At 50.6% G+C, this 24278-nt stretch overlaps 1 protein-coding gene across 3 annotated transcripts, besides 6 other annotated features; it reads left to right on the forward strand.

The window, feature by feature from the left end:
• Nucleotides 1827–2814: an enhancer, noted in NCBI's record as "H3K4me1 hESC enhancer chr16:56995483-56996470 (GRCh37/hg19 assembly coordinates)". NCBI's record gives its function as "activates a minimal SCP1, AML or CMV promoter by ChIP-STARR-seq in naive H9 embryonic stem cells {active_cell/tissue: H9 hESC(naive)}" and the evidence as "EXISTENCE:reporter gene assay evidence [ECO:0000049][PMID:30033119]".
• CETP (cholesteryl ester transfer protein) lies at nucleotides 2206–24101 on the forward strand. 3 transcript variants are annotated; one of them, NM_000078.3, is made up of 16 exons: nucleotides 2206–2353; nucleotides 3266–3380; nucleotides 9642–9776; nucleotides 9867–9937; nucleotides 10170–10257; nucleotides 11289–11358; nucleotides 11577–11637; nucleotides 12248–12339; nucleotides 13587–13766; nucleotides 15357–15407; nucleotides 18347–18511; nucleotides 21414–21481; nucleotides 21903–21936; nucleotides 22421–22493; nucleotides 23582–23667; nucleotides 23848–24101. In NM_000078.3, exons 1-16 carry the CDS (start codon nucleotides 2236–2238, stop codon nucleotides 23920–23922), a joined length of 1482 nt encoding a protein of 493 aa, NP_000069.2. In that variant the 5' UTR covers nucleotides 2206–2235; the 3' UTR covers nucleotides 23923–24101. The 3 variants fall into 3 exon arrangements, with proteins under 3 accessions (NP_000069.2, NP_001273014.1, XP_006721187.1); NM_001286085.2 differs by lacking the exon at nucleotides 13587–13766; XM_006721124.4 differs by lacking the exons at nucleotides 13587–13766; nucleotides 15357–15407; nucleotides 18347–18511; ... (3 more) ...; nucleotides 23582–23667; nucleotides 23848–24101 and adding an exon at nucleotides 12425–12762.
• Nucleotides 2815–3802: an enhancer, noted in NCBI's record as "H3K4me1 hESC enhancer chr16:56996471-56997458 (GRCh37/hg19 assembly coordinates)". NCBI's record gives its function as "activates a minimal SCP1, AML or CMV promoter by ChIP-STARR-seq in naive H9 embryonic stem cells {active_cell/tissue: H9 hESC(naive)}" and the evidence as "EXISTENCE:reporter gene assay evidence [ECO:0000049][PMID:30033119]".
• Nucleotides 4822–4891: an enhancer, noted in NCBI's record as "active region_10866". NCBI's record gives its function as "activates an Ori minimal core promoter by ATAC-STARR-seq in GM12878 lymphoblastoid cells {active_cell/tissue: GM12878}" and the evidence as "EXISTENCE:reporter gene assay evidence [ECO:0000049][PMID:35858748]".
• Nucleotides 4893–5187: an enhancer, noted in NCBI's record as "tiled region #2679; HepG2 Activating DNase matched - State 5:Enh, and K562 Activating DNase unmatched - State 5:Enh". NCBI's record gives its function as "activates a minimal TATA promoter and a strong SV40 promoter by Sharpr-MPRA in HepG2 and K562 cells {active_cell/tissue: HepG2 | K562}" and the evidence as "EXISTENCE:reporter gene assay evidence [ECO:0000049][PMID:27701403]".
• Nucleotides 11354–11693: an enhancer, noted in NCBI's record as "active region_10867". NCBI's record gives its function as "activates an Ori minimal core promoter by ATAC-STARR-seq in GM12878 lymphoblastoid cells {active_cell/tissue: GM12878}" and the evidence as "EXISTENCE:reporter gene assay evidence [ECO:0000049][PMID:35858748]".
• Nucleotides 23234–23734: an enhancer, noted in NCBI's record as "H3K4me1 hESC enhancer chr16:57016890-57017390 (GRCh37/hg19 assembly coordinates)". NCBI's record gives its function as "activates a minimal SCP1, AML or CMV promoter by ChIP-STARR-seq in naive H9 embryonic stem cells {active_cell/tissue: H9 hESC(naive)}" and the evidence as "EXISTENCE:reporter gene assay evidence [ECO:0000049][PMID:30033119]".

Genomic DNA, 24278 nt, shown 5'->3' on the forward strand with positions numbered 1-24278 from the left:
TGGAGGTTGCAGTGAGCCGAGATTGTGCCACTGCACTTCAGCCTGGGCGACAGAGCGAGACTCTGTCGAAAGAAAGAAAGGGAGGAAGGAAGGAAGAAAGAAAGGGAAGGGAAGGGAAGGGAGGGGAGGGGAGGGGAGGGGAGGGAAGGGAGAGAGAAAGAAGAAAGAGAAAGAAAGGAAGAAAGAAAAAGAAGGAAAGAAAGAAAGAAAGAAAGAAAGAAAGAAAGAAAGAAAGAAAGAAAGAAAGAAAGAAAGAAAGAAAAGAGTGAACCCAGGAACGAAAGATCACACACACTGTATGACTCTATTTACATGAAATGTTCAGAGTAGGCAAATCCATAGAGACAGAAAGCACATTTATGGTTGCCAGGAGCTGGGAAAGGGCAGGATGGGGAATGACTGTTTATTGGATGTGGGGCTCTATTTTGGGGTGATGAGAATGTTCTGGAATTAAATTCATGGCTGCATAACACTGTGAACATACTAAATGCCCCTGAATTGTACACTTTAAAATGGTTAAAGTGGCAAGTTTTCACTAAGCAGTAAATTAAATTCTACTACAATTTTAAAAAGACTAAAAAATAATTTAAAAAAGATTAAATGAGATAACGCAAAAAAGCATTATCTCGAAAATACAGCTGATATTAGTATAATTCTTACTAAGTTTTAAGAGTCTAAGGTGCAGGATTCTAAGTTTAAAGGGATAGGCTCTTTTGGTTTTTTGGTTTAGTTATTTGGTTTTTTTTTTTAATCCATTATCCCCACCCTTGGGAGGCCCCCAGCACCCAGTCTGCACTAGAGGATGGGGCCCACCTCCCTTTTCTCTCCAGGCCCAGCCACTGACCACCAGTACCCTGGCCAGGGGCACCCTCGGTCATTGCCCTCCGTGGCCCAAGGAAGGGAACAGAAACAACAGCCAAGAAGACAATAGCCGCCGGGAAGTCCTCACATTTCTGGAGAAATAGAGCCCATTAATGAATGAAGTTCCTCCAGCCTGATCGGAGGACGGGGTGCTGGGGAGGCCTGGGCTAAAGGGCTCACCTCCAGCCCCCACCCTGGCAGGGCCGATGGTACATGCTCACTCAGTGAGGGGGCTCCAGAGGTCTGTGGGTACGAACCCAAGGGCTGGTGCCCAGGGGCAATCAGCTTATGTCTCTGAGCCTTGGGAAACAGTGAGGGTCAGCCCGGCTCCCCACGTGCTTCTGGGCAGCTTTGGTATTGGAGCAGGTGCAAACTCGGGACTAGGGCAGGACCCCCTGAGAGGCGACTGAGCAAGGCCATCCCGACTCATGTTTCCTTGGCCCTGCCCGGGGCACAGCATCCTGCCCACATCCCTGCAGCCCTGGCTCCTTCCTAGGGGCTCTGAGGAGGCAGCACTTGGTCATCTGGTCACAGTTGCTGCAGGGCAGTTCTTGGCCCCAGCTGTAGGTAAAGTACTGTATGTTGTAATTTTTTGAAAGATAACACGTTCACACAACTCAGAATTGAAATGCCACAGACATTCCCCCTGCTCCGCCCCTTTCCCCCGGATACCCAGTTTCTCCCGGAGGCAGCCAATGATCTCAGAGGCTGTATACCCCCCCAGAGTTATTTTATGCATATCAAGGAAAGTCTACATAGAGGACTGTTTCTGGGGTACCCAGATGCAGCGTCAAATGCCATGGAATACTACAGTGAGGACATTATCCTTTCAAGCTTTCAAATCAGAGCAAGGGAAAGGTCGATGCTAGAGTTTCTCTAGCACCCATGAAGCCCTCTCCCTTTTTCTACTGAGTTTTACTTTACAGGCAACAGCAGGCTTCAAGCTTGGGGTCATTGTCGGGCAACAGTATCTGGCAAGAATTCAATGTCTTTTTCTCATAGTCATTGTATTTTGGCCTCTTTCTATTTATGGCAACTGAGAGAGAAAGCTTATTCCTAGATATATGTATTTAAGTAAAAAATAAATGAATTCATGGAAACATATTAAGCAATTATCCAGATAACATAAGGGATGGCAAAAATGGTGCAGATGGTGGAGGGGAGACAAGTAGAAGTTGGGGTGCTCTTGTTGAATGTCTGGCTCTGAACTCTAGAGGAGGCCGCAGGGGCTGGGCAGGAAGGAGGTGAATCTCTGGGGCCAGGAAGACCCTGCTGCCCGGAAGAGCCTCATGTTCCGTGGGGGCTGGGCGGACATACATATACGGGCTCCAGGCTGAACGGCTCGGGCCACTTACACACCACTGCCTGATAACCATGCTGGCTGCCACAGTCCTGACCCTGGCCCTGCTGGGCAATGCCCATGCCTGCTCCAAAGGCACCTCGCACGAGGCAGGCATCGTGTGCCGCATCACCAAGCCTGCCCTCCTGGTGTGTAAGTATCAGTGCATCTGTCTGCCCTGCCAGGGGTCTTTTCATGGACACCCACTATGCCAGGAGCCTCCCTGGCCTGAAGCCAGCCCTGAAGCCGGCTGCCACACTAGCCCAGAGAGAGGAGTGCCCTGGGAGGGAGATGGGCTGAGTGGAGCTGTCATCACCCCCTCCTGACCTCGCCTTCAAGGTCAAGTTCTTTGGTGAGAAGGTCCTAGCTGCATTGCAAACAGCCAGGTATAGGGATTTGTGTTTGTCTGAGACCCAGAATCACTGGGGTTCGAGTTAGGGTTCAGATCTGAGCCAGGTTAGGGGGTTGAGTCAGGGGGTAAAGATTAGGAGGTTGGTGTATATTTGGTGTTGGGGGTCACTCTATGGCCAAAGTCAGGGGTTGCCATGAGCTCAGGTGACGGAGGCTCCATCACTGACTGTTGTGTGACTTTGGCCAGCTCCCCTGCCCTCTCTGGGCCTCAGTCTCTTGCTCAATATAATAAGGGTATAGGGAGGCTAAATGATACAATTTCTAAAATAGAGTATCGCCAAGTTCAAAAGCCAGAATTATAGACCCCCAGGACTACAGACAGTGTCACAGCATCGTCTGGGTGAGGCTAGGGTTAGTGTGCGGCTGGGCTCAGGGCTGCCCCATTTGCTAGGATCGTGGGGTTCCCATGTGTCAGGATCCAGAGGCTAGGGTATGATCAGGATCTCTAGCTGGGGTCAGGGTCAGAGCTCTCTGTGTCCCCTAGAATTGCCATCAACCTTAAACCCAGAGGGAGGCCCAGTCCAACCCCTCAGCTTTAAGACCTGCTGGGAGCCTCATCTCAGAGAGGCTGAGTCATGGCCAAGGCCAGTTGGGGGTGGGAGCAGGGGGCTTGGTGTGGGCCTGCAGCCCCTCATCCACTGCCCTCCCCTCTAGTGAACCACGAGACTGCCAAGGTGATCCAGACCGCCTTCCAGCGAGCCAGCTACCCAGATATCACGGGCGAGAAGGCCATGATGCTCCTTGGCCAAGTCAAGTATGGGTTGCACAAGTGAGTCGGGCCTCGGGTGTGACCAGGCTGGGGGTAGGGAGGCGGGAGGAACAGCCTGGGGCTTGCCCCCAGCCCACAGGGAGGAAAGGCAGCAGCTGGGGGACTCAGGTCTCTCCCCTTGATTTGGAACCAGAGCCTGACACCTTCCCTACCCCCACCCTCCATCCCCTGGTGCCCTGGGGGGATTTATTGGAGTGTATCAACCTCTCCAACAGCCCCTCTAAGAGTCAGGCTTCAAAGGGTCCTTTCCCACTGCCCTGGGAAGATGGAGGTCTTATTTCGGGGTGAATGGGGGGTAGGGTAGAAAAATCTCAACAAAATAAGTATTTTTTAAAAAAATGTATAAATGTTGTTTTCTTATAGTACAGACAGGTCTTGCTATGTTGGCCAGGTTGGTCTTGAACTCTTGGCTTAGCCAGTCCCCCACCCCAAGCCTAAAATTAGTATCTTGACTTTATTTGGGATGATGGTAACAGTCAAGGGTCGGTTGTGGGCCAGGTGCTTTTACAAACAACATCCTCACCTTTATCATATATTTTTTTCTTTCTTGTTTTTCATTTTTTGAGACAGAGTCTCCCTCTGTCACTTAGGCTGGAGTGCAGTGGCACAATCTCAGCTCGTTGCAACCTCCGTCTCTGGGTTCAAGGAATTTTCGTGCCTCAGCCTCCAGAGTAGCTGGAATTACAGGCACACGTCACCACATCCGCGTAATTTTTGTATTTTTAGTAGAGATGGGGTTTCATCATGTTGGCCAGACTGGTCTCCAACTCCTGACCTCAAGTGATCCGCCCACCTCAGTCTCCCGAAGTGCTGGGGTTACAGGCGTGAGCCACCACGCCTGGCCCTTTATCTATCTTAATCTTTATTTTATTTATTTATTTATTTATTTATTTATTTATTTATTTATTTATTTATTTATTGAGATGGAGTCTCTCACTGTCACCCAGGCTGGAGTGCAGTGGCACGATCTCAGCTCACTGCAACCTCCACCTCCCGGGTTCAAGACGTTCTCCTGCCTCAGCCTCCCTAGTAGCTGGGATTACAGGTGCCCACCACCACGCCCGGCTAATTTTTGTATTCTTAGTAGAGACGGGGTTTCACCATGTTGACCTGGTTGGTCTTAAACTCCTGACCTCAAGTGATCCACCCGCCTCGGCCTCCCAAAGTCCTGGGATTGCAGGCGTGAGCCACAGCGTCCGGCCTATCTTAATCTTTATCATATATTTTAGCCTCTTCTGTAAAAGAGGATAATGCCATCGCCCGGATGACCCTGCTTAACAAACACGGAAACAGGAGCCGATAGAGGTTTAGCAGCCTGGCGGAGCTCATGTGCAAACTCAGCTCAGTATCGGAAACTCAGCCACCTTCATGGCACCTCAGGCTGCCCTGGAGCCTGGGTCCCGGTCTGTGTGTCGGTCTGAGGCCCCAAGGGTGGGGCAGACATTGTTCAGGGACCTTGTCTTTGTCTTAAAGCCAATCTCCTCCTCCTCCCCGGCCCTGCTAAACACGCTCCCCAGGGGTGGTCTCTGCTACCCGCGCACATTGGGCCTTGAGTCTTGGTAAATGTTTCTGAGCCACCAGGGGGCGCCAGCGGTGCTGGATGCCACTTCGCCTTTTGCAGGAAAACTCCCGCCGCTAGCGGGTGCTGTGGGGCGTCCCAGGTCTCGCGCAGCCACGCCCTCTGTGTGACCTTGGGCTTCAGTTTAGGCTTCTGTAAAAGAGAATAATGGGCAAGGTCCAGTGGCTCATGCCTGTGATCCCAGCACTTTGGGAGGCCGAGGTAGGAGGATTACCTCAGCCAGGGTTCAAGACCACCTGTCTCTATAAAAAATTTAAAAATTAGCTGGGCATGGTGGTGCGTGCCTGCAGTCCCAGCTACTCAGGAGGCCAGGGGAGGTCAAGGCTGCGGTGAGCTATGATTGCATCACTGCATTCCAGCCTGGGTGACAGAGCAAGACTCTGTTGCTAAAAAATAAAAGAGGATAATGCTATCCTAGACCTATGTGTTGCAAGAGGTCAGACATGGCAAAAGCGTTGAGAAGTTAAAGAAATAGTATCCTTAATAAATCAGCAATAATTCAGTAAGACCAGACTGCCATAGACTAGATGTCATAGTCATTAATATATAACTGTTATCCCAAACGTATATGAGTGGGGTAGAAATAAAATATGATTGGCCATAACTATGATTGGTCATGATTAATGTTAGATGAAGTTGGATAATGGGTAAGATGAGAATTCTTCACACTATTCTCTCTAAAGCGAATGGAATAAAATAGAACAGAACAGACCGGGAAAGCCAGATATATGTGGATTCTCCTTGCTGGGCACAGTGTGTCATAGTGGCTTATAATATGGGATTTGGAGTGGGATGGACCCAGGATCAAATTCCCTTCTACTGAGGTTTTCTGAAGCCACATAAGCTGTCTGAGCCATTTCTGTCTCAGTTCAGTGGGTACAGCAATAGTGACTACCTCGTGGGTAGCTGTGAGGATTAAACCAGGAAATGTGTATAAACTCTAAGCACAGTGCCTGCCACACAGCATGTGTTTGGTACGTGATGGCCGCTTCTATTGTGTCATATTCCATGTGCTCAAGCCGGGCCCTGGGGGAGAGTTCAGCAAGGGTAGAGGGATATGAGAGTGAATGTGGCCCACTGGCCTCCCTGCCTGCAGTCTCTCCTCTCTGATCCTTGCTTCCTAAGGGTCTTCACTGAGCCCCACCTCTGACCAAGTCCCCGGCGGCACAGGCAGCACAGATCCTCTGCTGTACCTACACCAAGACCCCAGGGCCAACGCTTCTCCCATTGTGCAGCTCCACCTCTGCCCCCGGGGCCTAGCTGAGGCCTCCTCCAAGCTGAGCCACCTACTATCTTCCAAACTCCCACCCTCCATCTGGTGTCACCTCCTCCCAGAAGCCCTCTGTATCAGTTTCCTGTTTTCTGCCATAAAAAAAATCACTCCAAGTTTAGTGGCTTAACATGACACAAGTTTACCATTTTACAGTTTAAAAGGCTAGAAGTCCACCATGGCCCTCCCTGAGCTAAGATCAAGCTGTCAGCAGAACCAGATTCCTTCTGGGGGCTATAGGGGAGAATTAATTCCCTCGCTTTCTGCAGCTTCTAGAGGCTTCCCCCATTCCTTGGCTTCCCTCCATCTACTTTTATTTAGGGCGAGGGAAGCTTCCTGCTCTGACTTTCTCATTTATGGTATTCTCCCCTGCTTTCCAGCAGCTGTGATTGTCCCAAGTCCTGTCCTCTGGTTCTCTAGGCCAGAAAAACTATGATCTACCAGAGCTCAAGAACTTGAAAGGGCCTTTTCCCACTGTCCCTTCTCACAGTGAGAGCCGGAGCCCAGCTTCGTGCTAGAATCTGTGAAAATGGAGAAATGCACCCTGTGCTGTTCTCTTCCTCCACCCGGCATCTCCCCTGCAGCCCGGCTGGGTTTTTTTGTTTGTTTGTTTGTGGGTTTTTTTGTTTTTTTGTTTGTTTTTGAGACAGAGTTTTGCACTTGTCGCCCAGGCTGGAGTGCAATGGCACGATCTCGACTCACTGCAACTTCTGCCTCCTGGGTTCAAGCGATTCTCCTGCCTCAACCTCCCGAGCAGCTGGAACCACAAGCATATGCCACCACTCCCGGCTAATCTTTTTTTTTTTTTTTTATGCATTTTTAGTAGAGATGGGGTTTCACCATGCTGGCCAGGCTGGTCTCGAACTCCTGACCTCAGATGATCCACCTGCCTCGGCCTTCCAAAGTGCTGGGATTATAGGCGTGAGCCACGGCCTGGCCCAGTCTGACTGTTTTCACTTACTCTCTAATGTCTCAGGTAGTGTTTATTGTATTCTGTGCGGAGGTCAAGAATTTAGTCATCCAAGGAGGTTAGTGTATTAGGAGCTTACGCAGCTATTACCAGAAGAGACTCCACTCAAAAATTTGGTACGTGGCTGGGCGCAGTGGCTCAAACCTATAATCCCAGCACTTTGGGAGGCCGAGGCGGGCAGATCACCTGAGGTCAGGAGTTCAAGACCAGCCTGGCCAACATGGTGAAACCCTATCTCTATTAAAAGTACAAAATTAGCTGGGCATGATGGTGCATGCCCATAATCTCAGCTACTTGGGAGGCCAAGGCAGGAGAATCACTGAACCCAGGAGGTGGAGACTGCAGTGAGCTGAGATTGCCCGCTGCACTCCAGCCTGGGCAGCAAGAGCAAAATTCTGTCACACAAACAAACAAACAAACAAAAAAAACGGGTTGGGCATGGTGGCTCATGCCTGTAACCCCAACACTTTGGGAGGCTGAGGTGGGGGAATCACCTGAGGTCAGGAGTTCAAGACCAGCCTGGCAACATGGTGAAACCCCCTCTCTACTAAAAGTACAAAAATTAGCTGGATGTCGTGGCGGGAGCCTGTAATTTCAGCTACTAGGGAGGCTGAGGCAGGAGAATCACTTGAACCCAGGAGGCAGAGGTTGCAGTGAGCCGAGATCGTGCCACTGCACTCCAGCCTGAGCAACAGAGCCAGACTCAGTCTCAAAAAAAAAAAAAAAAACAATGGTATGAGCTTTAAATTTCTGTAGAACTGAAAGAGGATTGGAGATTGTAGTAGGGTCTAATTCTAAATTAGAGCATTTAGAATAATGTGGAGTCTGGTCAACATAGTGAGACCCCCCCAATCTGCACAAAAAAGACAAAAATTAGCCAGGCAGTGTTGGTGCATGCCTGTGGTCCCAGCTATTCCAGAGGCTGAGGCAGGAAGATCGTTGGAATTCGAGGCTGCAGTGAACTGTGATTACACAACTGCACTCTGGCCTGGGCAACAGAGAGCCACCCTATCTCAAACAAGAAAGAACAAACTAAAAAAAAAAAAAGAAGAAGAAGAATTTGGAGCAATCTAGTTGTTTCCTATACCAGAAGTCTTTGCCAATCTATTTTTTTTTAATTTTATTTTTAATTTTTGTGAGTACATAGTAGGAGTATATATTTATGGGGTACATGAGAGTACATAGTAGGAGTATATATTTATGGGGTACATGAGATGTTTTGATATAGACCTGCAACGTTTTGTCAATCTATTTTTTTTTTGGCGACAGTCTTGCTCTGTTGCCCAGGCTGGAGTGTAATGGCGCGATCTCAGCTCACTGCAACTTCCGCCTCGTGGGTTCAGGCTATTCTCCTGCCTTAGCCTCCAAACTAGCTGGGACTACAGACGCCCACCATCATGCCCGGTTAATTTTTTTGTATTTTTGTGGAGACGAGATTTCACCATGTTGGCCAGGCTGGTCATGAACTCCTGACCTCAGGTGATCTGCCCTCCTCGGCCTCCCAAAGTGCTAGGATTACAGGTGTGAGCCACCACGCTGGCCCACCAACCTATTTTTGATCTAACTTTACCTCTGGTGGTGTATTGATACTCTTCCGAATCAATTTTCACCCTTCTTCATATACCATTTACATTTCTAAGAATTTGTCCATTTCATTTCATCTAGTTAACCTCATTTGTTGACATACAATTGTTCGTAGTATTCTCTCATAATTCCTTTTATTTCTGTAAGACTGGTAATAATGGCCTTGCTTTTATTTCTGTTTTTAGTAATTTGAGTCTTCTTCTTTTTTTTTTTTTTTGCCAGTCTAGCTAAAGGTTTGTTGATTTTGTTGATCTTTTGGAAAAACCAGCTATTGTTTTCACCGATTGTTGTTTTTGTTCTATTATTTCATTCATAGGCACTAAGATCCTGATTACTTCCTTCCTTCTGCTAGCTTTGGGCTTAGTTTGCCCTTATTTTTCAAGTTCCATAAGGTGGAAAGTTTGATTATTGAGTTGAGATCTTTCTCTTTTTTAAAGATAGGCATTTCTAGATATAAATCTCCCTGTGAGCACGGTTCCCTCCATCTTCAGCACACCAGGGTTGACTCTCTCCGGGCGTTCTTCCCTGGTCACCTCTCCCCTTCCTCTCCTCTTCTGCCTCCTCTTCCACTTTTCGGTACCCTGTGATTGTATTGGGACCACCCAGATAACCTAGGATCATCTCCCCACCTACCCCAAGGTCCTTAACTTAACCATACTTTCATATGGGTAACACGAGTTGAGTGTGGTACCCAGGGTTTGACATGTTGGGTAACATATTTGCAGGTTCTGTGGATTAGGAGGACATTTTGGGGGCCATGATTCTATCTTCCACCCTCGCCTAGACAAAATTGGAGGCTCACTCCTTGGGCTCCCTGGATGACCCCCAACATCCTTCCTCACTTCCATTCCTTCCCAGCATCCAGATCAGCCACTTGTCCATCGCCAGCAGCCAGGTGGAGCTGGTGGAAGCCAAGTCCATTGATGTCTCCATTCAGAACGTGTCTGTGGTCTTCAAGGGGACCCTGAAGTATGGCTACACCACTGCCTGGTGGTAAGCATTCCTGTCAGCTGATGCCCCATGCCCTGGCCCTCTCTGGGCTGGAGGGCTGAATGAGGGTCCTGGGTCCTTGGCTCTTTCCAGGCTGGGTATTGATCAGTCCATTGACTTCGAGATCGACTCTGCCATTGACCTCCAGATCAACACACAGCTGAGTATGTGTCAAGCGTCCTCTGGGGAAGTGGGAGCTGGACTCCAGGGCTTGGCCTCAGCAGAGGGGGAGGTTGTGCAGGCAGAGGGTTCTGGGGCCACCAAAGGAGGCCCAGCCTGGGAAGTTTGCAGGGGTGGGGACCCCAGAGCTGGCCAAGCTCTTGACTGGCCTGGGCAGCATGTGGATACCATCTGATAGCGGAGGCTGCCCTGAGGTCATGTCGGGTCTCCCTGCAGCCTGTGACTCTGGTAGAGTGCGGACCGATGCCCCTGACTGCTACCTGTCTTTCCATAAGCTGCTCCTGCATCTCCAAGGGGAGCGAGAGTAAGTACACCACCCTGTGGCCCCCATTCCTGCTCGTGCCCATCCTGTTAGTGTGTCCACGGCTCCTTCCAGGCTCAACCCCACACAGGGCATGCTTGTGGGTGGCCAAACCTGAGGGCAGCAATACCTTCAGTGGGGTCACTTCCTACCCCCTCCCATCAATACACCCTCAAAGGCTGGAAACAACAATAACCAACAGCTAGTAACTAACAGCTATTAAGAACTTGCTGTGTGCAAAGCACTATTCCAAGCCCTTTTCATGAATTAATTGATTTTGTCCTTAAAACCAACCCTAGGATATAGATTCTGTTATCATCCCCTTTTTACATATGGGTAAACTGAGTCACAGAGAGGTTAGAAAGGAAAAGCTCATATCTACGGAGTGCATCCTGCATTCCAAGCACCACACTAACTCAGAGATAAAACTCTAGCCAAGCTAAGTAACTTGCTGAGGACACACAACTCGCCACTAAGGGATGGGAGTAGGATTTGAACCCAGCATTCTCTGACCCCAGAAGCTGAGTTCCTAGATACTTTACTCTCCTGCTTCCCAGGGTGGGGCTTTTTGTCTTGGCCAACACCCTCTGTCAAGGAGCTGTGGGTAACCCCATTGCACAGAGGAAGATAACAAGGTTTGGAGAGTCCCTAGTCATGTTACCAATGCCAAACCTGGAAGGCAGAAGGGAACTGGTGGGTGGGGTCTGGAGAGGAGCCCTCTATTCAGGCCATTTTCTGACTCTGGAGCAGACGGATACATGTATGAATTTGGACTCTAGACACGTTCTCGTGTGTGTGACAGGTGTGAGCGTCACAGGAGCTGGGCCCTCCCGAGGAATTCTGGGATGGTGCCACAGTTAATTCTTGGGTCTGAGGCTCCGTGTTCTCAGCTGCAAAATGGGAGTGATAATTCTTACTTCCTGAGCTACAAGAGTCAGGGCCAACAGAGCCATGAACGGTGCCTGGTACACACTAGGCGCTCCATGGATGCACAGGACTGGTCAGGGGCTCATTGTGGTGCTTGCTGCCTTCAGGCCTGGGTGGATCAAGCAGCTGTTCACAAATTTCATCTCCTTCACCCTGAAGCTGGTCCTGAAGGGACAGGTGAGTGAGGCTGGCTGACTCCCTGTGGTCCAGGGCCATGCCCAGGAGGCTGGATCCCTTTCCTCCCTGCCTTTCCCTGAGAAGGTGCCACTCCCACCTTCTCCATGTGGCCAGTCCCCTGTGCCGGTCCCCAGCACTGCCACCACCACGCAGCTGGAAGGAGGCACTGCCTCTGGCCTCCTTTCCTGCCTGGAAAGCACCTGCTCTGTCTGCCCCAGATCTGCAAAGAGATCAACGTCATCTCTAACATCATGGCCGATTTTGTCCAGACAAGGGCTGGTGAGTGCGTTTCTGTCTGCATGCCTCAGAAGACAGCAGTGGGAGCCAGAAAGCCACCTGCTGCACTATGTGGCCTTGGGACTGTCACTCTTCCTGTCTAGGTCCCATGGGCTCTATCTGGCTCTGACACTTGATGATTAGTTATGAGCATACTTTGGCAAATCTCTGCCCCTTTGGGCTGCAGCCTCACAAGCTGTGTGGCGTTGGGCAAGTCTATAGAACTCAGGACAAATGGGTGATTAAGTCCAAGAGGACTCCAAGATTCTCCTGGAAGTAGATTAGGAAAAAAGATAATTAGATTGCTCACATGGCTGGGCACTCATCCATGTACTGTACTCTCCTATGCAGTACAGAGCAGAGCTGGGTTTCAGCCCAAGTCTTGGACTCTGCTCTGAACCAACCTTCTAGAAGGGCTCTACCTACCCAGACAGACAGACTTGGGAAAAGAGAGAATGAAAAAGTGCCACACCCCTCCCCGCACACCCAGGTCCCACTTTACAGAGGGGAACACTGAGGCTGGAGGGTTGGGTAGCTGTGTGGATGCAGGGGAGCGGTGACTCAGGGCAATTCCCCCATCCTGAGGCCCTGCGTTGATCTTTTCCTCCTGCAGCCAGCATCCTTTCAGATGGAGACATTGGGGTGGACATTTCCCTGACAGGTGATCCCGTCATCACAGCCTCCTACCTGGAGTCCCATCACAAGGTAGGAGTTGTGGGAGGGTGGGGCAGGGCCCAGCTTCCCCAGGGGAGTTGGTCCTTTTTTGTGCTCTGACAACCCCGTCCCCCAGCTTCAACCTTATGGCAGCCAAGAGTCCTGGGGCGCTCCTCCTCATTCCTGATGCTCCTCCGCATTCCTGATGCTGCGAGGAGGGCAGGCCACAGCGACGTGCCCCTGACCCCTCTCTGCAGGCACCAGGGCTGCCCACTACAAGGATCCCAGCAAAGCACCAGCTCCTTCCTAGAGGGCTTATTCGGCTTCTGTCATCCTCTACAGCAGTGGATTGTGGCCCCCCCCCAGGGGGTACTGACAAAAGCTTTGGACCCTCTATTACTTAGGATATAGATTTCTGTAACAAAGAAATCCGAAATAATAGCTGCTTAAACACAATAAACAGTTATTTCCCTCTGTTGCGTTCTGAGCATCTGCAGCCCCGCGGGATCAGGAGGCTGCAGGGTGTCAGGCACGCAGGCCCCTTCCACGTGTTCTCAGCCAGCCCCAGGCATGACCTCATCCCAGGGTCCTGGCTGACTGGCCTGACCACCACACCCACTCTGCTCACAGCCCGTTGGCCTGAACCTGATCGCAGGACCCCACCCTAGCTGCAAGGGAAACTGAGGAATTTATTTCAGCTAAATATTGAGACCAGCTAAAAGTTAAGTGGTACAGAATGGAGGGAGAGATTGGAGAAGACTTTAGGGCGGACCCAGCCATCTTTGTAACAGAGCCTCTCCCTGGAAAACTGGACAGAAGGATCATTTCAGAGGTTCATGGCCACTCCTGAAGCCTGTTCACAACCCATGGGCTGGATGATCTAGTGGGGCGGGGGACTGGGCAGCAGCTTGTTTTCCTGATTTTGGCCTCCAGGAGCCGATGGTCAATGGACTGCCCTCTGCAGGGGCAGGGCTGGTGGTCAGCTGGGGCGGGGTGGGAGCTGGAGGTCCGTGGTCACCAGCTGCCCTGACTAATGTCGTTACTTGAATATAACCCTGTGAAGGCAGGAACCACGTCTGTCTGGTTCACTTCCCACGGTGGTTGAGACATAGTGGGCACTCCGGAAGTATTTGTTGAATGAGTGAAAGCCCCGCTGGGGGAAACTGGGTACAGCTCTTTCCTCAGTTTCCCCATCTGCACTCTGGGCTGAATGCTGGGGCTCCTCCCAATCTCCCTGAAGCTGGACCTGAGCCCAGTAGGGACACACAGGGTCCAGCCAGCGTCCTGGCTTCCTCCAGGGTCATTTCATCTACAAGAATGTCTCAGAGGACCTCCCCCTCCCCACCTTCTCGCCCACACTGCTGGGGGACTCCCGCATGCTGTACTTCTGGTTCTCTGAGCGAGTCTTCCACTCGCTGGCCAAGGTAGCTTTCCAGGATGGCCGCCTCATGCTCAGCCTGATGGGAGACGAGTTCAAGGTGAGTGGGTGGGGCTGGGCTGCTAGGGGATCCAGATGGCATGTGGTATGTGTGTGTGTGCACACGCATGGGGAGGAGGGAGGAAACTCGGAAACTTGGTGGTGGGCAAAAGAACTAAGCTGGAGCAATAGCAGTGAAGTCCAGACTGGGCACAGTGGCTCACACCTGTAATCCCAATCCTTTGGGAGGCTGAGATGTAGCAGGACGAACCGCAGACAAAACTCCTCAGACACTGAGTTAAAGAAGGAAAGAGTTTATTCAGCCGGGAGCATGGGTAAGACTCCTGTCTCAAGAGCGGAGCTCTCCGAGTGAGCAATTCCTGTCCCTTTTAAGGGCTCACAACTCTAAGGGGGTCTGCATGAGAGGGTCGTGATCTATTGAGCAAGTAGCAGGTACGTGACTGGGGGCTGCATGCACCGGTAATCAGAACGAAACAGAACAGGACAGGGATTTTTACAATGCTCTTTCATGCAATGTCTGGAATCTATAGATAACATAACTGGTTAGGTCAGGGGTCCATCTTTAACTACCAGGCTTAGGTCAGGTAGGCCCAGGCCTGGTTTCGGGTCTGGTTCCTTGGTTTCGGGTCTGGTCTCTAGGCGTTGGGCTACCTGCCTTTAGTTTCGCTTCTCTTTCTTTTTCTGAGTATAAAACAATATAAAACAATATGAGAGGGTCTGTCTCTCTTCTCTCAGAGACAGGAGGGTCCCTGGAGGCCAGGAGTTCAAGACCAGCCTGGGCAACATGGGGAGACCCCTGTCTCTACAAAAATAAAAATAAGTTTAAAAATCAGCTGTGCACGGCGGTGCATACCTATAGTCCCAACTACTCAGGTGGCTGAGGAGGGAGGATCACTTGAGCCCAAGAGGTTGAGGCTGCAGTGAGCTATGATGGCACCACTGCACTCCAGTGTGGGTGACAGAGTAGGACTCCATCTCAAGAAAAAAATACAGTCCAGCATTTATTGGAGTCAACTATGTGTTGCCAGATAGATAGATGGATAGATAGACAGAGTGATCAATAGATTTAGGTATAGATATAACTTGGCACGTAGTAACTGTGCATTAAATATAAGTTGATATTAGACTTACATTTATTGCAGTTATATTTGCTACACTTTGTTTTGTTGCACTCATCCTGTGAAATAAGTACTGTTACCTCTGTTTTGCAAACAAAAAAACCACAAAGCTCAGAGAAGGTAGGTGACTTACTGAAGATCACACAGCCTGTAAGAGGTGGCCCCAAAGCCTGTACTCTTCACCTATACTGTACTAGAAATGCTTAGGTAGTTTCCAGGCTGTGCTTGTCATTGAACTCATGAGGAAACTGAGGCCCACAGAGGGGAAGAGACTTGTGCGAGGTCACACAGCATGTGTGGGGCACAGTGGGGAGCAGAAGCCAGGCCTCCAGCCGGGACAGGGGTTCCCTGTTCCACACCCTGCCCAGAGCATCTCACATGTTGTCTGGGAGGTTGGGAGTTGCGTCTGAGGAGGGGTCCAGTCCTTGAAACTGCCCTTGGTCCCTGCGAAGTTTTCTTCTGAGGAGTGGACTTTACTCCACCCACCCTCCAACTTCCTCATTTCTTTTCAGGCAGTGCTGGAGACCTGGGGCTTCAACACCAACCAGGAAATCTTCCAAGAGGTAACTGCCCCCTGCCCCTGTGTGGGGTTTATCTCACGTACCCCAATCCTGCTCTGGCTTCAAGAGCCCCCACACAGCCAATAACACCACCAATGGCAACAATTATAACAGCGAACACAGCTCCTACTCGGTTGTTCGGCATGGAGTGAAGCACTTAGTGTGTGTGACTTCCTTCAGTGCTCACACCGACCCTATGAGTGGGGCGGTCAAACTGTCCCCATTTTACACACAGGGAAACTTAGTGAATGGCAAGGCTGGGTTTGAGCCCAGCTCTATTGCCCCCAAAGATAAGGCTCCATTCCCTGCTCCATTTCCCAGGCATAGGGACTTGTAGGGGGCTGGAACCCCAGGATCAACTCTGGGCTCAGAGGGCCCCAGCAATAAGTGACTGTTGATTACTCCTGATCCCAAAGCTGACTTCAGGCAAGCTCCTTGGAGGTCGCAGCCCCTTCTTGCTATGCCCAGTGGCAATGATGTTCATAATCCCACTCCTCAGTGCAGGGTTCCACTAAGAACCCATGATCTCCTACCTCAAATGGACCTCATGCTTTCTGAGTAAGCCTCCCTCAGCTTTCTGGTCACCTCACTCCCCCCACCCACTGCAATGACTTCTTCAGGCCTTCCCTGCCATCCTCAAATCTCCAGCTGCCCCCTCCTGTCTACCTTCCACTTCCCTCTCCACACACAACCTGCTTACCAGAGAGCTGAGCAGAGCCACCAACAGAACTTCCCCCCCACGTCGCTGCTCCCAGTCGCAACCCACTCACCCACACCTGCGCCTTCCTGCGGCCGTTCTCCTGTTCTAACAGAGGACGGTCCCTCTTCCCTTCTGAACTCAGGCCGTCCAGCCTTCCCCGGCTCTGTGATGCCTCTCTCCTTGCACATACACAACTCACAATATTGGGCAGGCCCCTGACCGGCTCTTCTCCCTTAGCCCCTTGTCTGAGTCCTGTTCCTTTGATGTCCTATTTCTAGTCTTTCCATTTCTCTCTGTCTCTACCTCCTCCCCAGGCTACCATTATCTCTAGTGGGGACCCATCTGTAGCTCCCGGTGGGTCTCCCTGTGTCCTGATACCCTCCAATAATCTGTTCCCCACAGCAGCCAGAACAATCTTTTCAAGAAATAAAACTGGTCATTCACCTGCCTGCTTAAAGCCGGTGTAGGATACAGGCTAAACGCTCTCCCATGGCCTCCAGGGCCCTGCATTTTCTCATCCTGTCTACTTCTTCATCTAGTTGTTTCCCACCCAGCGTAATTGTAACTGTTTAGTTGAAAGTTGACGAGGTCTTTTGTCAGCTCTAGAAATTTCTTTTCTTTTCTTTCTTTTTTTTTTTTTTAAGACAGAGTCTTGCTCTGTGGCCCAGGCTGGAGTGCAGTAGCACAATCTCAACTCACTGCAACCTCCACCTTCCGGGTTCAAGCAATTCTCCTGCCTCAGTGCTGAAATTACAGGTGTGAGCCACAGCACCCAGCCCATCAGCTCTGGAAATTTCTTCATCACTCTCTCTTCCATGATTGCCCCATCCCTATTTTCTCCATGCCTACCTCCTGGAATTTCCATGAGACACACGTTGGGCCATCTCATTCCATTTTCCGTGTCTCTTAGTTGCTCTGTCGTGTTTTCCATCTCTTTTATCTCTATCCTAAATTCTGGATAGTTTCTTCAAGTATCTTTTTAGTTCATTAATTCTTTTTACAGCTGTGTCTTATTTGTTTACTTACCCACTGAGATTTTCATTTTATTTTATTTAATTAATTAATTTATTTATTTTTGAGACAGAGTCTCGCTCTTGTTCCCCAGGCTGGAGTGCAGTGGCGCAATCTCAGCTCACTGCAACCTACGCCTCCTGTGTTCAAGCAATTCTCGTGCCTCAGCCTCCCGATTGGCTGGGGTTACAGGGGTGCACCACTGTGCCCAGCTCATTTTTTTGTATTTTTAGTAGAGACGGGGTTTCACCATGTTGGCCAGGCTGGTCTTGACCTCCTGACCTCAAATGATCCTCCTGCCTCAGCCTCCCAAAGTGCCGGGATTACAGGTGTGAGCTCCCGCACCCCGCCGGCCCTTTCTTTCTTTTGAGCTGAGCTATGTATTTAATGAAACCTTTTCTTGTGTATCCAGCGGTTCAGTGGTTTCTTGGGGCATGTGATCTCCTTGAGCCCAGTCCCACAGGCTGTAATCGAAGGTCCTCAGGCCACACTCCCCAGCCCCGCTGGCTGCCTGCGCATTCCTTATCTTGGCCATGTTCCTTCCACAGGGCTCTTGTCCACACTGTCCCCTCTGCCAGAATGGTTTGCCCTCCCCCATGCCATCTGCTCCTCCTCCTGCCACCTCAGGGAAGGCCTCTCCCACCTCCCTGACTAGGTCAGGTCCCCTCGTGCCACAGCCTGGTGTGTCTCTCCTTTAAATACTCCTCAGCTGCAGTTTTACGTTCTGTTCTGGGATGCCCTGGAAAATGCTGGGCTCCTGCAGATATGGCCCGCAGCTCCTGCGCTCTCTGCTCTATCCCCACCCCTAGCCCAGCTGCTACAGCAGCTTCCCTCGGAGGGTTACCATGCAGTAGGTCCTGTTCTAAGCTCTTTCCACAGATTATCTCATTCCATCCTCAGGACAACCCTATGAGGTAGGATCTATGATTATCCCCATTTTACAGATGAGGAAAGTGAGGCCCAGAAGGCTAAGTGAAGGCATCCTCAGCACATCCTGAGAGAGGAGTTCAGGGTAGGAATAGCTTCACTAGCACACAGATGAGAAACTGAGGCCCAGAGAGGACAAGAGTCCTAATTTGCACAGCCTGGGGCCTGGGCACTACCCCGAGCTACTTCCTTTTCCCCAGCCCTGGGGCCCGGAGCCAGCTTTGTCCTTCCCATCTCCGAGGGCATGGACTGCTGCTGCCCTGATGGGCCCCTGTCCTGGCCATGGGACCCCTGTCTTCCACAGGTTGTCGGCGGCTTCCCCAGCCAGGCCCAAGTCACCGTCCACTGCCTCAAGATGCCCAAGATCTCCTGCCAAAACAAGGGAGTCGTGGTCAATTCTTCAGTGATGGTGAAATTCCTCTTTCCACGCCCAGACCAGCAACATTCTGTAGCTTACACATTTGAAGAGGTGAGGCGGGTGCAGGGAGAGGTGGTGGTGGGGGAACCTGACTCACATATGGGCCGCAGAGGGCAGGGGCCTGGGGGTCTCTGAAGCCTCCAGATCCTTCTCACCACCTCTGCTGGCACTGGTTGTCTCTTGCACATGGCTCCTTACAATCAAAATCACATCATGCAAGTAACGAGGGGGTACACACGTGGTTTCCACAGCTTAGGTAATATTTTCTCTCTTTTCTTATTTTTATTTTTTTTAGAGACAGGGTCTCACTCTGTCATCCAGGCTGGAGTGCAGCCTCACACTCATAGCTCACTGCAGCCTCGAATCCTGGGCTCGAGTGATCCTCCCACCTCAGCCCTCCTGAGTAGCTGGGACCACAGACAAACACCACCACACCTGGCTAATTTAAAAAAAAAAATTTCCTTAGAGGCGGGGTCTTGTTATGTTGTCCAGGCTGTTCTCAAACTCCTGGCCTCAAGCAATTCTCCTGCCTTGGCCTCCTAAGTTGCTGGGGTTATAGGCATGAGCCACCATGCCAAGCATATGTTCTTTCATTCTTATTTTTATTTATTATTTATTTATTTACTTATTTATTTTTTTGACACAGAGTCTCACTGTGTTGCCCAGGCTGGAGTGCGGTGGCACAATCTCGGCTCACTACAACCTCTGCCTCCCAGGTTCCAGCGATTCTCATGCCTCAGCCTCCCAGGTAGCTGGGATTACAGGCATGCGCTACCACGCCTGACTAATTTTTTGTATTTTTAGTAGAGACAGGGTTTCGCTATGTGGGCCCAGCTGGTCTGAGACTCCTGGTTTCAAGTGATCTGCCCGCCTCAGCCTCCCAAAGTGCTGGGATTACAGGCATGAGCCACCACGCCCAGCCAATATTCTCCTCCTTAAGCTGAGCAGTGGACAATGGTGTTTATTACCCGAGTCCACAACCCTTTATTCATTAGGGCCACAAGGGTTTCCAAATTCAGAACTTCTGTGAATTTGTAAAAGTAGTATAGTGTATAGACACTGGATATATTGCAGAACACCCCAATAGGGTGTGGGGTGGCACCCCACAATCAATTCTCCTCAAATGCCTCAATTGGCATTTCTCCTCATATGAAGCAAGATAAATACCATACATAGCTTCCTAGACAATGGCCAGGTTTTGCCAACAAAACTTAAGAAAAAACTTGTAGTTTTCAGATCCTGTTTGATTTTATAATTACAAATAAGGAATTAAGAATCAGTATTATCTTTAATGCTCCTTAGAATATCTTCAATTTTTTTTTTTGAGACAGAGTCTCACTCTGTCACCCAGGCTGGAGTGCAGTGGTGCAATCTCGGCTCACTGCAACCTCCACCTTCCTGGTTCAAGCGATTCGCGTGCCTCAGCCTCCCCAGTAGCTAGCTGGCACTACAGGCGCGTGCCACCACGCCCAGCTAATTTTTAGTAGAGGCGGGGTTTCACCAGGTTGGCCAGGCCAGTTTCAAAGTCCTGACCTCCAGTGATCCACCTGCCTCAGCCTCCAAAAGTGCTGGGATTACAGGCATGAGCCACTGTGCTCGGCCAATATTTCTTAATACATTAAGAACTAAAGACAAGAGCGATACAATCACATTGTGGAAAATATAGAAAAATAGAAAGAAGAAAACCACTGTCACCATAACCCCCTTCTCCAGGGGCCTTCGATGTGGTGACTGGGTGCATTTCCTTCTGGTGCTTTGTTATTTTTAAATAAATTTTTTATCTTGGAGTAACTTTATATTTGAATAAAAGTTGCAAAATACAGAGTGTTCCCATATATCCCCCACCCACTTCCCGCTTTGTCCACATCTTACATAACCATGCTACAGTGTCATAGCGGAGAGATTAACATTGGTGCATGACTGTTAACCAAACTCTAAACTTTATTTGAATCTCCCCAGTTTTTCCACTGATGATACCCTTTTTCTTTTCCAAGATCTGATCCAGGATAGCACATTGTATTTAGCCGTTCTTTTTTGTTGTTGTTTGTTTGTTTGTTTGTCTGTTTGTTTCTGCCCAGGCTGGAGTGCAGCGGTGATCCTCCCACCTCAGCTTCTCGACTAGAGATGTGCACTACCACGTATTTTTTTGTAGAGACAGGGTTTTGCCACATTGCCCAAGCTGGTCTCAAATCCCTGGGCTCAAGTGATCCTCCCACCTTGGCCTCCCAAAGTGTTGGGATTATAGGCATGAGCCACTGTGCCCAGTTTATTTAGCCTTTTAAATATCTCTTTAATTTTTGTATTACTTTCCTTTTCATTTTTCTGTTTTATTCCTTTTGGCTTTCTCATGTGGATGTAGACATATTATTTTATTTACTTATTTTTTTGTTGTTAAGAATCTGAAACATTGAGCATTTGTTAAAAAAAAGAATTATTCGGCCGGGCACGGTGGCTCACGCCTGTAATCCCAGCACTTTGAGAGGCTGAGGTGGGTGGATCACATGGTCAGGAGTTCAAGACCAGCCTGGCCAATATGATGAAACCCCATCTCTACTAAAAATACAAAAATTAGCCGGACATGGTGGCACATGCCTGTAGTCCTAGCTACTTGGGAGGCTGAGGTAGGACAATCGCTTGAACCTGGGACGTGGAGGTTGCAGTGAGCTGAGATCGTGCCACTGCCCTCCAGCCTGGGCAACAGAGTGAGACTGTCTCAAAAACAAAAAAAGAAAAGAAAAGAAAAAGAAAGTGACTTCTCAGGTCCTAACCCCAAAGCCACAGGTGCTGGGGAACTTTCCTCGGTTTTCAGAAGAGCAGTAGCTAAGCCTGGTTCCCGTGTCATCCTTGCCTCTCCAGTCCCTCAGTGGAAAGAATCAGGGGCCCTGAGCTAGGAGGGTTGCTCTCTGCTTCGGGAAGAGCCCTGGCTCACAGCAAATTTGGTTTCTCTCCCCAGGATATCGTGACTACCGTCCAGGCCTCCTATTCTAAGAAAAAGCTCTTCTTAAGCCTCTTGGATTTCCAGTATGTGCTGCAGAGAAGAGAGGGGGCGGTCAACTCCGCAAACCTCTCCCTGGCCCCTTGGAGTCAGGCACAGGGCGGGGTGTTGGTGGGGAAATGTGGCCCCTTTCTTCTGGGGCATATGGGCTGACTGCAGGGAGATAAGACCCTGCCTAGATAGAATCTTCGTGGGGAAGAAGGGGCTCCAGGAAGAATGGAGGGCTGCCAGGAAGAAGGGCCTGGCAGGAGGAGAGCGCTGCCCGAGCAAAGGCCTGGCCGCCAGAATAGCAAATCTCAAGGGAATAGCAAATCTCAAGAGAGTGCCCCAAAGGGCCTGAGCTATGAGACAGAAGCACTGGCTGCTATTCTTAGAGTTTCTTTCCCAGGGGATGTTACAGGAGGGGGCCCAATGGAGGGTCAAATTATCATCGCTTTTTTATTTCAGGATTACACCAAAGACTGTTTCCAACTTGACTGAGGTAGGTAGTCTTGGATAGACTGGGGGAAATAAGTCCTGTGGGACCTCCTGCCTTAAAGAAAGCAGGCGGAGGGCCCTAAAGGAAATCAGGCAACCAGACCAAAAGAATGTGGACCAGGTGGTCCATGCTGTGTCTCTTGTGACCCTTCTTCTCCCTGCCATGTCTTTTGGGAGAGCCCTTGTGTTGCAAAAATGAGAGTGTGGTGGTATGGATTGGGGTTTAGGCAGAACAGTACTGGCCAAGCAGCGCCTCCCTGGACCTCAATTTTCCCTCTGTGGAATGGGCTAGCAATCCTGGGCCTCCCCAGGGCGAAGGAAAGACCACTCAGGAAGGGCACCGTCTGGGGCAGGAAAACGGAGTGGGTTGGATGTATTTTTTTCACGGATGGGCATGAGGATGAATGCTTGTCCAGGCCGTGCAGCATCTGCCTTGTGGGTCACTTCTGTGCTCCAGGGAGGACTCACCATGGGCATTTGATTGGCAGAGCAGCTCCGAGTCCGTCCAGAGCTTCCTGCAGTCAATGATCACCGCTGTGGGCATCCCTGAGGTCATGTCTCGTAAGTGTGGGCTGGAGGGGAAACTGGGTGCCGAGGCTGACAGAGCTTCCCATTTCACCTTGTGGGCCCTTCCCAGGCAGAGCTTCAGGTGCCCCTCTTCCCAGTCATTGATACTTAGCGGTCCTGGCCCCCTTTCCTCTCCCTGCTGGTGGTATTGCACGCCAATGACTCGGCCAGATGCCCAGACCCCTGTTCTTGGTTTACCTGCAGAATATTATCTTTGCCACCCCGCGGGATGGCTCAACCCACTTTCAGGATGCAGGTCTCCTAATAGCAACCTGATATAGCAGAAAGACCCCTGGGCTGGGAGTCTGAGACCTAGTTCTAGCCCAGCCCTGAACCTCAGTTTCCCTTTCTGTGAAACAAGAATGTTGAACTTGATGATTCCCAATTTTCCTTTTGACCTTGAAATGGTAGAATATTTATCCCTTTGAGGTGACTCGGATGGTAGACTCTCAGACACCATAGCACACGTGTGCTGGGGGTATTTTGGACCAGGCTCTGCTGAGAGCTTTCTGCTCCCTTCCCCACAGAGTATGTTGAGCTGACTGTGCTTTCCTTTTGAACATCTGCTTGTCCACATGGCTTAGGTAGGAGAGGAAGGGCGTGGAAACTGGAATGATCCTAGTGGGGTGTCTTGGCATCTCTTGGCCTCATTTTCCCCATCTGAACCATGAAGCTAAAACTAGGGGATGTGGATTAAATGGTTCCTACAACTACTTGCAAGGAGACCACTCTGTGTGGTTGCAAAGAACACTTTGAGAAGCTGTGTGGGAAAGTTTCCTTCCTAGCAGGGTAGACTCAGCTAACTGCAGGTCATGTGGCCATTGTGGATGGGTTGGGAGCTCAAGTTTGGGGCAGAAGGGAATTTTTTTTGGCAGCAGAGTGGCAAGCCCTGCCGCCAGGCAAACTCTGCTCTTCCTCATCCTCAGAAGCACTTGCTCACTCTGCTAAATCAAAGTGAAACGCATGTTTACAGAATATTGGTCCAAAAGGGTCTCAGCATCTCCCACTACCCAGGGTGGCAGAGCCTCGGGCCGGCCTTGCTCCCCAAGAAGGGCTGACTGGGGCTCTGTCCCCTGCCCCAGGGCTCGAGGTAGTGTTTACAGCCCTCATGAACAGCAAAGGCGTGAGCCTCTTCGACATCATCAACCCTGAGATTATCACTCGAGATGTGAGTACAAAGCCCCCCTCACCAGCCCCTGTTCCTGGGGAGAGAGGCCCAGACAGGATTCCTGGGGTGACTGGGGGCTGTTGGGGAGACAGACAGAGGGGCCTCTACCAGCTTGGCTCCCTCCTGGTGGCCTGGGAGTCAGCCCAGCTCGCCCCTCTCTCCTACTGCCCCTCCCTTCAGGGCTTCCTGCTGCTGCAGATGGACTTTGGCTTCCCTGAGCACCTGCTGGTGGATTTCCTCCAGAGCTTGAGCTAGAAGTCTCCAAGGAGGTCGGGATGGGGCTTGTAGCAGAAGGCAAGCACCAGGCTCACAGCTGGAACCCTGGTGTCTCCTCCAGCGTGGTGGAAGTTGGGTTAGGAGTACGGAGATGGAGATTGGCTCCCAACTCCTCCCTATCCTAAAGGCCCACTGGCATTAAAGTGCTGTATCCAAGAGCTGCGGAGTCCTTCTTCTGTGGCTGGCGGGTAGAGGGGGGGGGAAGGGATTGTCTCACCAGTGCCGTCCACCTCTTTTCAGCCCTTCCAAGGCAGCTGCCCCCAAACCCTCCAAGCTTCATGATGACTGGAGGAAGAAATCCAAACTTCTCTCCTTGGGACTCACGATCCTCCCTG

This window comes from Homo sapiens, chromosome 16 (genome assembly GCF_000001405.40).
Source record: "Homo sapiens chromosome 16, GRCh38.p14 Primary Assembly".
Taxonomy (NCBI): Eukaryota; Metazoa; Chordata; class Mammalia; order Primates; family Hominidae; genus Homo; species Homo sapiens.

Excerpts from the sequence above, each read along its gene's own strand:
- CETP (NM_000078.3), top strand. The coding sequence starts at position 2,236 with ATGCTGGCTGCCACAGTCCTGACCCTGGCCCTGCTGGGCAATGCCCAT. Across the intron at positions 13,767-15,356 it reads TGATGGGAGACGAGTTCAAG|GCAGTGCTGGAGACCTGGGG; the intron begins GTGAGTGGGTGG and ends ATTTCTTTTCAG. Across the intron at positions 18,512-21,413 it reads TAGCTTACACATTTGAAGAG|GATATCGTGACTACCGTCCA; the intron begins GTGAGGCGGGTG and ends TTCTCTCCCCAG.